This window comes from Homo sapiens, chromosome 17, assembly GCF_000001405.40.
Source record: "Homo sapiens chromosome 17, GRCh38.p14 Primary Assembly".
NCBI classification, from domain to species: Eukaryota; Metazoa; Chordata; class Mammalia; order Primates; family Hominidae; genus Homo; species Homo sapiens.
The window spans coordinates 70,088,597-70,103,664 of NC_000017.11; the positions used below are offsets into that span (position 1 = coordinate 70,088,597).

The 15,068-nt window shown below is 37.1% G+C and overlaps 1 protein-coding gene across 18 annotated transcripts in view; it reads left to right on the forward strand.

Moving 5' to 3' along the window:
• The window catches only part of KCNJ16 (potassium inwardly rectifying channel subfamily J member 16), a 60,384-nt gene that overhangs the window by 13,372 nt on the left and 31,944 nt on the right, over positions 1 to 15,068 (forward strand). For 16 of the 18 annotated variants that reach the window (XM_017024609.2, XM_047435953.1, XM_047435952.1 and 13 more), the window contains exon 2: positions 12,062 to 12,170. The exons of the other annotated variants lie outside the window; for them this stretch is intronic. The gene's annotated coding sequence lies outside the window, so the exon portion shown is untranslated. The remainder of the gene's footprint in view (positions 1 to 12,061; positions 12,171 to 15,068) is intronic. 18 annotated transcript variants of the gene reach the window in all.

Below are 15,068 nucleotides of genomic sequence, written 5' to 3' on the forward strand. Positions count from 1 at the left end.
GTTAATTCCAAATTATTCATTAAATTTTGTCCTCTATGGAAAGAAAAGTTACCTCTTTTGGGTAACTTATGGTACACTTTGGCTATATTCAAAATGGTTAGTGGCTGCCATTGAAAAGAAATCAAATAAGGCCAAGTGATTTTTTTTTTTCTAACTAGGAAACTTAGGAAAAAAATTAAGGAGGTGGCATGACCTGTTTATTTATGTGATTCTGACCATTATACCACAATAGTTTTGCCTAGTGGCCGATTTTAGTCCTATGGCTTGAATGACTTAAAATATGTAGATCTAATATGGCTTGGTAATATAAAAGTCCTCAGTTTAAAAAGTCAATTCAATTTAAAATTGAATTTAAAATTGACTTTTAAAAAGTCAAATTCGATTTTAAAACTTAATGAGAAAAGGTTTTTAGTCTCGTTTCCACCAGAACGTGTGAAAGTTTTCTTTCTTTTGCTTTTCTCATTTTGTAACCGGCTACTTTGGTCCTACGTTGCTGTATGTAACACAGGAATACAAACAGGCAAATCAAGCCAATTTCTTCTTCTGATCCCTATATGTCCTCTTCCTGAACCTATAAATGGTTTCAATTCATACAGTAGTTGTTACGTATCAACTCTGTGCCAGGTACCATGCCGTATGCTTGGGGCCACGCTATCCTCATTTATTTCACTCTTTTTCTGAGGACTGTTCTACAGCAGGAATTTTGGGGTCTAAGCCACTTCAGTTGGCCCCGTAAGTTTTTATTTTTAAATTAATTTAAGAGTCTTGCATAATTTGCATATGAGTTTTAATTACTAGAAAAGAGGGAATAAGTATGTTTACTTTTATTTAACTCTCAGCATTTCCAGATTCCTGAAGTTGAAAAACATCACCCAAAACCATTTAAAATTTTTGTTTGTTTGTTTGTATGTTTTAATAGTTCCCAAAGGTGGAATCTGTGACTTGAGGGAGGCAGTGAAAAAAACATAATGCCTGCAGTTACTGAAGCATAAAACTACAGGGTTTCCATAGTTGCTGTAGTCTATAACCCGAGGGCACTCTATTAAATAATCTTAACTTGCTGGGAAGGAGGGAAAACATTTAGCTATAAACTAGACTTACAACCGCAAGTGACATTTTTTCAAAAGGTTACCACATCTCTGTTTATCAAATTTATATGTACATAAAAAGATTAAAAGTTAGTTACTCCAGTATTTACAGAGAACACACACCTCTGACTAACTCTGTTTAGAATCTCTAATTATATCACACTCAAGATAAAGGCCGATCCTGCTAACACTTTGTAACCGTGGTAATAACTGCTTCCACCACTGCAGGTCTAAGTTTAAATTATGCACTGCTGCTTTGAAAGAGGGGATCTCGACAGGGAAACTGGTGTAGTCCACTTCCATCCAGCCTCAACTGTCTCACTGCACCTCAAGGACACTGTTAAATCATTTGCCCAAGCATTAATTTTTTTAGCCTCCACCCCAGATTTAATCACTTACTTATCTTCCTGCCAAAGTAATTGTGCTGGTAAAACAGGGCAACTGGAATCTAGGCAGAACTGGCTGTTTCTGCTTCTGTCCAAAGGGACAGGGATGGAAAGGCTGATGGTGGTGATTTTGTGATTGAATGGGGGTAATTGTTCTGGGTTTTTTGTTTTTCCCTTTAAAGAAAATTCTACAGGCTTGAAAACTCTAAGATAAGGAGAAAAGCTGACCTAAAAACACTGTCATCTCACAAACCTTTAGCTAGTAGAAAACAGATCACCTTTGTTACATTTTGGCTGGATAACATTGCACACATTATTTGGGTAATTGAGGTCAATGGAAACACTTGGACTTTATTTTCCCAGGTACTTTTCTTTTCTAGCCTGAATTATGAGCCTCATTCTGGCACAGAGTCCTACTTACAGAATGTGTTGCCAATTCATTGGGTGCATTTAGTAAGTTCATACGATAGACATTGAAAAACCCAAGAGTATCATTTTGGATGATCAGGCTCTATAGTTTCTCTTCAGTAATTTTTGATTTATCTACCCGGGTTAGCAGGGATATATGAAATAGTGCACAATACCGCTAACCCACTCACAATACCGCTAACCCACTCACAATACGGCTAACCCACTCACAATACCGCTAACCCACTCACAATATGGCTAACCCACTCACAATACCGCTAACCCACTCACAATACCGCTAACCCACTCACAATACCGCTAACCCACTTAGATCACCTGAAAAAGTGTCAACCATTTTGTTTAGCTCAGTTGCCAGCAATGTAACAAAAACATTGTCCAGAAGTATTCTTTAGGACATTTGTGGCTATGAAACAAAGATTCAAAATCCTTAGCCTAACCGGTGAATGTTTTCCCAGTTTTGACTCAGCTTGATCTTTTGGCCTTCTCTGCCTCCACTTCTCTTATATGACTCCAGCCTTCCCACTTTACAAAAATGCCTTGTTTCTTTCTCCCATCTGGAGAATGTTAAGTTCTCCCCTACTTGACTTTCATCCATCTAAGCATATCTTTCAAAGTGATAGCCCAATCTACCCTTTACACAACACCTTTTCAGAAGAATTACACCAATCATGAGTAGGTCCTCCTCAGAACTCACTCATGCTGTCTACTTCCTCTCCTACTCATTTGACCATCATCTGTCACCATTTCCCACTCATTTGACTGTTAACTAAAATAAAATTGAAGTCAAAACACAACTTAAGTGATAAGATAATTTCCTGTTTGTTATATCTTGCCTTCTAAATAGCTTACTAACTTCCTGTGGACTACAATCACGTCTTATACATCATAAATTTGCTAACAACCAGCTACCCTCCTCCAACACAGTGCAGGAGAGGCCTATGGAATAGTACGCATTTACAGGGGTCAAAGAATCAAAATTTAGGCTTAGGAATGATAAATAATGGGATTTTCTCCTTAATAGGATTTGCTGCAAACAAGTAAACATGCAGTATTTGTTTGGGGTGCTCCTTCCACTCAGCACCCCACCTTATCCCCCAGTACACATACACACACACACACACACCACTCCTCTGATGTTTCCATGGCATCTATTCTACTGGTTGCAGAATATAGTTTTCTGCTGTTTTCCCAGATAAGCCTTTAGTTTCTTGCTATTACCTAGGTAGGGCTTCATTAGACACTTAAGGGCTGCTTTGCTTGAACTGAATACATACCCTTGAATCATCCTGATGTACTTTATCAAGAGTCACCTCTCCCTTACTTATTTCCAGGGCAATATTTACATTTAATCGGGGAGTGTGGAGTTCATCAGTCTATGCAAGTAAATGTTAACATTCCATGTCCTGTGACAGCTTGGGTGAGAGCTGTAATTTATTGGGTTGGAGGGGGGTTGTGGTTATTTGCATTGTGTAAGCTAAGCCTCATTCTTAACACAGAAAAAAGAATGCTACACAACACCAAAAAGGCTAAAATTTGTTTTGCATTATAAATAACAGAAACCTAAAACATCTACCTAAAAGCACATTGGAATGAACCATAGCAAGTTCCTAATTTTGTTTTTCATTGTGTTTTTATTGTTTTATGAGTCTTAGTTTCCATATAGGATCAAAATGACTCAAATCACATCTTTTACATAAGTGTTTTCTACTTTTAGCCTGTATATTTACAATTATGGAATAAACCATATATGCAAGTTTACCTTCCTCCAAGAAAATATGGATCTGTAGATACCATGTGAAGTCAAAGAACAACATTTTAAGATTTTTATCACTTCCTGACCATGGGATGTTTTACAACCTAAGAATAGCATTTCTGAAAAACAAACTCAGAGCATGAGTTATGTAAGAGGCAGTTGGTTTTACAGTTCGAAATAACTGAAATATGTACTAGTCCATTGTATTAGTCAAGGTTCTCTAGAGAAACAGAACCAATAGATAGATAGATAGATAGATAGATAGATAGATACATAGACAGATAGATATAGATAGATATAGATAGATGATAGATATAGATAGATAGATAGATAGATAGATAGATAGATAGATAGATAGATGAGATTCATAATGAAAACTGACTTATTCAATTATGCAGGCTAAGAAGTCCCACAATATGCCATCTGCAGCTGGAGAACTAGAAAAACTGTGCTGAAATTCAGTCTGATTAAGAAGGTCTGAGAATTTTGGAAGCCAATGGTATAAATTTTATTTAAAGTCCAAAGGTCCAAAAACCTGAAGCTCTGATGGCTGAGGGAAGAATATGGATGCCCCATCTCCAGAAAAAGGAAAAGATGTTTGTCCTTCCTCCACCATTTTGTTCCATCCAGACCCTCAGCAGATTGCATGATGCCCCCCACATTAGCGAGGGCATTCTTTACTCAGTCTACTGACTCAAATGCTAATCTCAAATGCCAGACATCCTCACAGACACACCCAGAAGTAATGTTTTACCAGCTATCTGGCCAACCCTTCGCCAGTCAAGCTGACACATAAAATATAACCAACACGTCCATCAATTTGCAAAGGTTGAAAGTTAGTAAAAGATTCCTCAGAAAGGAAGAAATGGAAGAAAATCTGAAAAAGGTGAAATAACCTTTTGGACGCAAGTGTGGATGCTCTATAGTATTATTTGTCTAAGGCTGCTTTGACAAAGCATTGCAAACTGGGTGGCATAAAACAACAGAAATGTATTTTCTCACAGTTCAAGAGGCTAGAAGTCTGAGCCAAGGTGTAGTGTTGGGAGGGCCTTGCTCCTTCTGAAGCCTCTAAGGGAGAATGTCCCCTTTCCACTTTTAGCTTCTGCTAGCCCCGGGCTTTCCTTCCTTGTAGCAGTGCAATTCATCTTCACCTGAATTCTTCTGTGTGTGTGTGTCTGTGTCCAGATCTCCTGTAAGGACACCAGTCGTATTGGATCCGGGCCCACTCTAATGACTTTATCATAACTTGATTACATCTGCAAAGACCCTATTTCCAAATCAGGTCTCATTTGCAGGTACTAGGAGTTAGAACTTCAAAATTTCTTTTTCTGGGACACAATTTAACCCATAATAGATAGTGATGACAAGAAAATGAGAGACTCCAGGAGATTCCATGCTTTCCTTATAAAAGGGTAGAGAAACATAGTGAAATGAAGGAGGGCTTTGTTTTCATTTTCTTACTAATAATTCTTTCTTTTACTGTGCTTTTAGTTTCTTATGGCCATTATTGGGAGGTAAGATAATACCACATGGAAGCACTTATTTTTCTACTTATTATTTAAATCTTTCATTCTTTTCAAGAGGCTTGGCCAATTATTCTGTAATTTGCCATAACTATTGGAATATGGTTAGGTGTCAGCAAGCAGGCGATCTTAGTACAGATAACAAAAAATAGAACATGTTTCACAAGGAGTAAGGAAAAAAAAAACAAATAAAAAGGGCAAATAAGGGGAATAATTAATGATGGATTAGGAAAGGTGAAAGACATGAAGCATTGTCAAAAATATTTATCCTATAAACTTGGTTTAAATTGCGATTTGGTATTGATGCAATGGCTCATGACTCAGGTTTTCTTCCATAATGTCTCTTGTGCCCCAGACAGCCCTGTGTTCTGAAGCTTCCTTTATATTTTCCAGAATTCACAGCCTAAAGAGAAATAACAATTGTGACATTTGCATTTACTTAAGGCTTTGGAAAAACTCAAAGTGAAAATAAAAGTAACCTTCAAGAATTGTCTCCATGGAATAACTGTCTCAACTATTTTGGCCAAGACTGTCTTTAGGTCTTTATTTTCATGGCAGGAATAGCAATAGTTTCAAGCTTTGGAGGGTAAGGGAAGTTGGAAAGGTGGGAATATCAATTGTATCTTTCTACAAGAGAAAACATCTACATGAAGAAAACAGTAGTAAGTGTTGCAATTAGAAATTTGAGAAATTGTAAAAGTTGAAAGAACTTGAACTGCTAACAATTAATAAAAGTATGTATTTTATCTACAGAGATTATCTAGAATGAAAGGATGGGAAGGTGAGGTATTTAAATTATTGTAACCATCCATTGCACTTATTTATTAGTCAATGAGGTGAAAGGTGGGGGGAATAACATATATTTTCTTAATTTTTTGTGATTAAACAAATTCGAGGTGGTAGATTTGATAGGGCTGAAATTTATTATACCACTGTCCCCCGCAGGTTTGAAACAATTTAGGACGCTACATAGAATTACACTTGAAAGTAAATTGCACTGTAGGCAAATCATGTTTCCAAGAACATGACACATCTTACTGGCTAGAGTTAACCAGTCCTGAGAAACGGCAGGAACTCTTGCTCTCCAAATCCTATCTTGCAAGGCCGTAGAATTTGTCCACAGAAAATCATCACCAGTCATCACTGAGCATTTGTCACAGTAGGTTTTATTAAGTTCAGACAGATTCAATTATAATTAAATCAATCAACCTTTCATATATTGGCTAACAGACAGACTTCTAAGAAAACCAAGCTTCCCTAAAAAAAAGCAATTAGATATTATTTTCTTGATTCAACTTATGTGAGCATATGAATAATTTACTTTTGTTTGTTTAATTCACAAATAGCTCAATTTATAAGTATTGGTGTGGGCTATAGGCTTAAGAAACATGTTTGTGTAAAGCTGCTGTCCCACGTAGCATTTACCACCATACTATGTTTTTTATCTTGAGATGCTGAATATACAAATAAATACTGGCCAGACCATGTAAGACAAAACAACTTTGACCATAATCTCTGCAGGAACCAGCCCAGGAAGCCCAATCATAACCTTTGTAGCCATTTGGCCCAAAATGGTCAGAACTTGGTCAATGACTCTCAGCTTTCCTTATGCTTGCCTTCACTTCTAACCTAGAACCAACCAGAAAAAGAAAATGTGCTCCTCAAACCATTTATAGAGGAAGCCCGGCTTCCACATAGCCTACCTCCAGCTTCCTCAGCCAACAGCTTTTGATCAGGGCAAACGTGAAGCTTTTCTACTCTTTCTACTATAAAGATTTTCCACTCCTCTGCCTGCCTGTGAGTCTCTGGCAAACAAAAGTGATCGTGCCTGTCTTCCTTGCAAGCTCTGGATAAATAATTTCTGCTTGTTCTGGTTCAGATGATCGTTGTTTATTTCCACAATCTTTATTAGGATCTCTATACAGAATCTTTTAAATGGCAAGATTAGCCCTGCCCAGATTTAGGAAATCATTTAGGGCCACTGGATATCAAATGTGGTACCAAAAAAAATGTTGAAACTGATTCAAACTTGGGTCAAGATCCCTTTGATCTAGCTCAAATCTGTGATAATTTGGCATTTTATATTACTTAATCCTTTTTTTTTTTTTTTTTTTTTTTTTTTTTTGAGATGGAGTCTTGCTCTGTCACCCAGGCTGTAGTGCAGTGGCACTATCTCGGCTCACTGCAAGCTCCGCCTCCCGGGTTCACACCATTCTCCTGCCTCAGCCTCCCGAGTAGCTGGGACTACAGGCGCCCACCACCATGTCTGGCTAATTTTTTGTATTTTTGAGTAGAGACGGGGTTTCGCTGTGTTAGCCAGGATGGTCTTGATCTCCTGACCTCGTGATCCGCCCACCTGGGTCTCCCAAAGTGCTGGGATTACAGGCATGAGCCACCGCACCCAGCCTACTCAATCCTTTTTCCAGTCCATTTCAGCAAAAGCCTCACTGCTTGTGAGTGTCCTGCATACAGTCTGATTTGGGTGGTTGTTTTCTTTGTGGAACTACTTAGAGGTCATATGACATTTGCCTGTGGATAGTTCAAATTGGCTCTATTTTCTTAGGTCCATTTTGCCCTTATTCACTGAGAAATATGTGGTCTCTCATATAAGATTGTTTCCATTGAAATTCTGCCAATACCTTTTATTCAACTTGTAAGCATGGAAAAGTATTATGAACTTATTTAATTTTTAATTTATTTAAAAATTTTTATAGTAACATTAGCACCTACCTTCTAAAGTTGTTTGAGAATTAAAGGATAATTTCTGTAAGACAATTACCAAAGTTCCAATATGTAATGCTTATTCAATAAATAATAACTATCATTATTATTACATCATAATAGGTGCCTATATTTCTAAATTAACAATCTTTTGTACTATTGATGTGACAATATGTACATTAAGTGGGGTGAAGAATTAAGTCATTCTCTTCATAATCAGGTGATAACAACCTTCTCCTTTATTGAGAATCAAGCATCTCAGAGCGAGCGTGAATGGATATTAGAGTTTCTGCCTCAGTGTTCTCAACAGCTTCTACTGGTAAAGCAAGTTACAGCTAGTAACTTGGTCAGGGTTTTTGGATATAAACTTTATTGTTTAGAGTGTAGACCAACCTACATTTAAAATATGATACTTCAGAAGTGCAGAAAGGTACGTGACACAGCCAACTGAAGAGGTAACATGTCCTAACATATTAAATTTTCTCTATTCTCTTTTGAACCCTATTACAATCAAAGAAATCTCCATGGTGAAATGCTCATTTTGCAGACACGATATTGTGTAAGTTTTATTTCATAATCACACAAAGGAAAAATTCCTGGGCATTTTATGTGCACTTTTGTTAATGTGATCACAGATACAGAGTTAGCCGTTCAACCCCAAACGAGACATGACCTCACTGGGAGGTTTGTTCGTTCACTGCATTACGGGGATCCACACAAAGGACATGTCAATGGCACAACCCATGCGCCCCCGTCTCCCCACTCTTGTCAGGATTTGTCCTGGGAAGTTTCTAGCAAACATTTTTGGAGCAAATATTTTGTGAGAATGTCACTGTTTTTGTTAGAAAGGCCATTTAGGGGTCTAACTAGGAACCAAGAATGGAATGAGTTACCTTATTAAAAATTTTAAATCAAAAAGTGTTTATATTGTTTGGTGAGTTTCAGTAGAAATTAGAGGAGGAGGTCAGGAGCAGGAGGATGGAGAAATAAGAGCTCCATCAGGAGCACCAGGAATGCTTTTTAAAAACATACATATTCTATTAGATTCTCAAGGAAATGTGACTAAGAACAGGCCCTCATCGCAGCCCCATATAGCATAGTTTTCAATTTTTCTACAGTGACTATTTCAAATATTTTCTGTTCTCTTCAAATCTCTACTCTTGTCTCCTTTACCCACTACCCCTATTTAACAGGGAAAATAAAATCACAAACTTCTTGTCTACCATCCATAGACCTGATTGCATCTGTATCCACTCTTTCCTTGCAAAGAACCTTGACTCTTTCCCATCCTTCTACTCTGCTCCTTCACCTCCATTTTCTTCTCTTTCCTTCATTATGGATTTCTAATTATTGTTGATTCTGACTTCCAAGTCCCTCTTGAATCTGTTTCCTAGGTTATGACCTCCTCCTCACTTGTCTGACCAATCTGTTCTCAACACTAGAGCCAGAATCTTAAATACAGATCTTCAGTGTTTTATCTTTATGCTAATCAGATTGTGTTAGTCTCCTGATCAAAGCTCTTTAATGCTTTCCTAGAATAATACAAATTCTTTAACATGAATTACCAGATGCTGCTTACCACTCCAGCTCTACCTCATACTTCTCCCCATTTTAGATCCCAGGATGCAGCCAAGTAATAATTTAAAAAAAATTTTCCTAGTAACTCTCATTCAGTGTGAACACAGTTTGTCTCAACGAGTTTGGTTCAGTATGAATAGAGTAAGGGTGTAAATTGCACCCTTGGGGAAATGTGACTCAACAAGTAACTACTGCAGAATGGATTCACTGGAGAACAAAAGCAAACATATTCGTGCTTTGAAGAATTTAGGAGTCAATCAAGTGTGGAAAAGGCTAAACATAAAAATAATTTTATTCATGAGTACAGTTCTAACTTGAATATTCATAACATTTTATTAATTTATCATAAGGACTTAAATGCTGAGTTATAGGAAAACAATTTAAAAATTTAAGATAAATCATTTTTGCCATATGCCTCTTAACAAGACAGCAGTTGAAATCTTCTTTCTTTTCCCTTTGATTAAAAAAAAAAAAAACCTTTATGGCCTAGTGGCATATAATAATTGTATTACGTGTGTGTGTGCATATAGATATTATTAAATTATAATGTACACTGATATACGGGCTTTCCCCAATTTTATTTCTAGCACTGTCATCGAAGATTAATTTTTTTCTGACTCAAATATTAGAAGCTAGAAGCTTTTTCTATGACTTTATGTATTTCCTCCACTCATAGTAGCTTTGAAGTTGAATTTTGAGTGGAATGGAACCTTTGAAGTAGAATTTTGAACAGAATCTGGACTGATATGGGGCTGGTCAAACGGCACCTCAATAATTATGAATTAAAATATATAACATTTTTTAAAGACATTCAAAGAACAACCAGGTGTTGAGCAAATTCTAAGTGCCTGAGCCAGCTCCCACTAGCTCACAAGAGCTAACTGTTTACACCTCTTATCAAATCCACATTCTGAAGCCTCATATCAGTGACCTGACATCAGCCATGCGTGGAGTATTTACACCACAGAAATGAAAAACTCTACAAATCAGTCCTTTGATTTCCTCCAGAGAGGCAGTTAAAATGCACCAGCACTCTGCTTCCTATGAATAAGTTGACCATATATCACAGCAGTATTGATTGATGCCAGTTGTACTTCTGACCCATGATTTTCACTTTTGTCCCCACCCTTTTCTCTGTCAAAAGTGACAGATTCAACAATCACTATAGATATCAAGGAAAATAATATAATGGAGATTTTTCACTGCAAGAAATGAAGACTGGGTTAGAAGGTAAAGAAGCAACTACAAAATGTTTATCTTTATGTGAAGAACAGGCTCCTGGAAGTAGTACGAGACTTGTTTTGCAGAGCTTCAGGGGACAGCATGAGGACAGGAAGATCTTGTGAAAGCTATAGGGAGACACATTTTTATCTGAGTTTAAGGAAGGACTTCCTCATGGGTAAGGTCTAGTCATCATAAAATAGGAATAGAATGCATTTAGGGGTGAATGAGGTCTTAGTCCACGAAAACAGTCAAGTAGAGACGGACAGCCATCTTGAGGGGTGTTGTGGAGGAGCTGGGGCAATAAATGCTTGGGTGTTAATGCCTTTCTCATGATTCATATTGTGGGTTGAATCTTTCTCATGGCATTTCTTCACTCAGTCATTTTGGCAATCCTCAGAGGGTCTTTGCCTGGTGCTATGTGTGTTTGGGAGTAGATACAAGGAGAAGAAAAAAATAATTCGCTCAAATTCACACAAAAAAGTGACCCAAACCAAAATCCTTATTAAGCCTCACTGTTAAGTTTTAAAATGATATGATGATCACTAATTTGAGAGGAACTACATGTTAGCCAACCCATCACTGATTTATTTGTGATTTCAGATTTTGAAATCTATTAGGATAATCAATTTCACTTCAGCACGGTTTGGTCAAAGAAAGGAAAATACATCAGAGGGATTCAAATAACTTTAGAATCATAAGTAGTGTGAGAGATCTACAGGAGGAAAGTCCGTTTAGCAGTGAGAACTTCAGACACTTCCTCTATATCCTATGGTAACCAGGCAGTTAGAATAACAGGAAGCCCTCAGGCCGGCAAAAATGGCACCTGTGAAGTTTGTTTGGGTCTATCTGAAGGCAGGATTTCAGCAGGGGCTGAGGCTGTACAGAACAACTTAAAATTTTCAGTTGGATAAGAAAAATCGGTAAAACTTAAAAATTGTATTCATTTCCTAATGCCTACGTGGTATTACATATAAGTCAGACAATTGTTTTCTCTATTTCAAATTACTGGATTAGTTTGATTATTATACGGACTATCAGAAGAATAGTGGTACAGCTTTTCTCCAAGATCAACGCCTTTCATTTGTGGATCTTCCATCTTACCTGATACTTCTCTGCCCGTGTCTTCAGTACTGGAATTTACTCCAGTACTTCTTATTTTCTGTTTGTCTTTTCACCACCCGAAAAACATTACTCTCACTCACCAAACTATGTACACCTTTCTTTATATTCTCCCAATCAGACTTAACAAACACTTAGATGACATTTATTTTTGCCTGGTACTGTTTTAAGTGCTTTACAAATATGAATTCATTTACTTCTGCTAAGAGCTAATATATTTCTATTATCTTCCTTTTACAGAATGGGGGATTGAGGCACAGAGTGTTAAAATAGTGAGACACAGGATTCTAACTGGCAGACTGGCACTTTATCTCAATTCTTAACTGCTGTGTTGCCTCTCACTTTAAAGGTAAGAAATTAAACCAATTTTAACATGATTCTCCGAAAAACCAATACTTGCACTCCTTCCTCCATGAAAATGTGCTTTATCCCTACGCATTTTTCCAGAAGTCCAGCTTTCTACTTATACGTTTATATTTTCATAAACTTTGCTACAGAGCAAATTCGGTGTTACAAACATTGCTTCCTTTTGTTCACATTTTACACGTTTACTGCCTCCTTAAATCATTCACCTTCACTGTATTTTAGGAAAGAAATGCTATTTATATATTTTGTGAATCCACAGTCTATTATACATTCTGCTAACTAAGAATAAAACTTGTCTACTTGGTTATTTGAGTCTAGAGAATGATTTTCAACCTGGAGTGACTTTGCTCACCAAGGGACATCTGGCAATGTCTGGTCACATTTTTGGATGTCTCTACTGGGGTTTGGGGTCATACTGGCATCTAGTGGGAAGAGTTTAGGGATGCTGTTAAACTAAATGCCATAACCACAGGTCATCTTCCCACAACAAAGAATTTTCTGGCCCTAAATATTGAGGTTGAGAAACCCAGATCTAGGATATTCTGTGCATTTAAAATGATTCCGTTCAGAACAATTTAGGTACTTTCTCAATAGTACTGCAAAAGCTATATGAAAACTATATGTATATAAAAATTATATCTATCTGTCTCTAGCTACATTAACATATCAATCTGCTAGGTTAAGTAGACTCAATTTAACCATCTGGTGTTTCATGTTTGCTTTTGATTTGTAAAAGACTCAGACCTATAACATAGCCTTAATGCTAATATCATTCTTGAGATAAACGATTATAATTGCAGATTTCTTTTTTTTTGAGAAAGAGTCTCGCTCTGTCACCCAGGCTGGAGTGCAGTGGCACCATCTCAGCTCACTGCAAACTCCACCTCCCAGGTTCAAACAATTCTCCTGCCTCAGCTTCCCGAGTAGCTGGGATTACAGGTGCCCGCTACCAATACTTGCAGATTTCTTTAGTGTTATGTTATTTAGCCACTCATCCATTTTTTTAAAGATTTAAGTATTAAGCATTCACTGTACACCAAGCAATGTTCTTAGTGAACAAGTAATTTAGAATTAGATTACAATTAAATTGTGGATTTTAGGACATTTTAGTTAACGTTTACTGAAAAGTATTATCACAGAATTTATATTTTCTATAGTTTATGTTGTTTTATATGATTATAAAAGCAATGATTTAAGAATTAAGTGAAGTATTTTACATGATGTGGAAAAAATGAGAGAAAAAGATGGAAAAGAGTTGATTGAATTATTCATTTTCACCTGATTAGTTGAAGCCAGTGGTTAGTAACATCACATGCACAAAGGACCCAGTGGCTGATTCAAAATAGTATTCCATTCTCTCCCCATGATTTTACAATGAAACTACGAGACCAATCAGGACACCTTCTTCTTTCTTCTTGTTCACCAAAAGTACTTTTTTTTTTTTTTTTTTTTTTTTTTTTTTGAGATGGAGTCTCTCTCTGTTGCCCAGGCTGGAGTGCAGTGGCACAATCTTAGTTCACTACAACCTCTGCCTCCCCGGTTCAAGCAATTCTTCTGTCTCAGCCTCCCGAGTAGCTGGGACTACAGGCATGCGCCACCACGCCTGGCTAATTTTTGTATCTTTAGTAGAGACGGGGTTTCACCATATTGGCCAGGCTGGTCTCCAACTCCTGACCTCGTGATCTGCCCGCCTCAGCCTCCCAAAGAGCTAGGATTACAGGCGTGAGCCACCGCTACCTGCACAAGTAGTTATTTTTAATAGCAATGACACACAAGAGTAATTGCAGGACATTTACTTAACTAAAAAAATCAGTTGGCAAAATCTTATGTGAAAAATTAAAACAAAACAAATAACCATTTCCCTGAAAAATTAACCCCACTTGGACCTCCACATCCTTTCCCATCCATCACCACATTTTTCTACCCCATTTGACAGCGGAACTCTCTGTAGGCTTTCTGCATGCTTTCAACACTTCCTGTCACCGTTTTTACTCGTCCCTAGTCAAATCAGGCATTTATCTCCAAAACTCTGTTGTGACATCTTTCATCAAGGTCACCAGTGACATCACACTGCTAAATCCAATGGTCAATTCTTGTCCTTATCCTGACTGATTGTTAATATCTAACACACATGATCACTGACTTTTTCTTTTTCCTTTCCTTTTTTTTGAGACAGGGTCTCACTCTGCCGCTCTGGCTGGAGGGCAGTGGCATGACCAGGGCTCACTGTAGCCTTGACCTCCTGGGCTCAAGTGATCCTGCCACCTTAGGCACTCAAGTAGCTGGGACTACATGTGTGCACCATCATCCAGCTTATGTATATTATATATATATATTTAATATATATATTTATATGTGTATATAATATATATAATTTATTTAATATATATTTATGTGTATATAAATATATATGTGTATATATATTTTTGTGTATATATATGTGTATTATATATTTATGTGTATATATATATTTATGTGTATATGTGTATATAATATGCATATATGTGTGTGTGTATATATATATATATATATATATATACACACACATATATATATATTTTTTTGTCAAGACAGCGTCTCACTATTTTGCCCAGGCTGGTCACGAACTCCTGGGCTCAAGCAATCCTCTCGCCTTAGTCTCCCAAAGTGCTAGGATTACAGGGGTGAGACACTATGCCCGACCACACTGCCTTTTGCTTGTAACACTTTCTTTACTTCGTATCACATGTCACAATTTTTCCTCCTACTTCAAGCAATTCTTTTTCTCAGTCTTCTTAGTTATAGCCTCCTCATTTTCCCAGACTTAAATTAGGCTGTCCCAGGCCTTCGTCATTGGAATCCTTCTCCTTTCTAACTACTCTGACTCTTGTATTGTTTCATC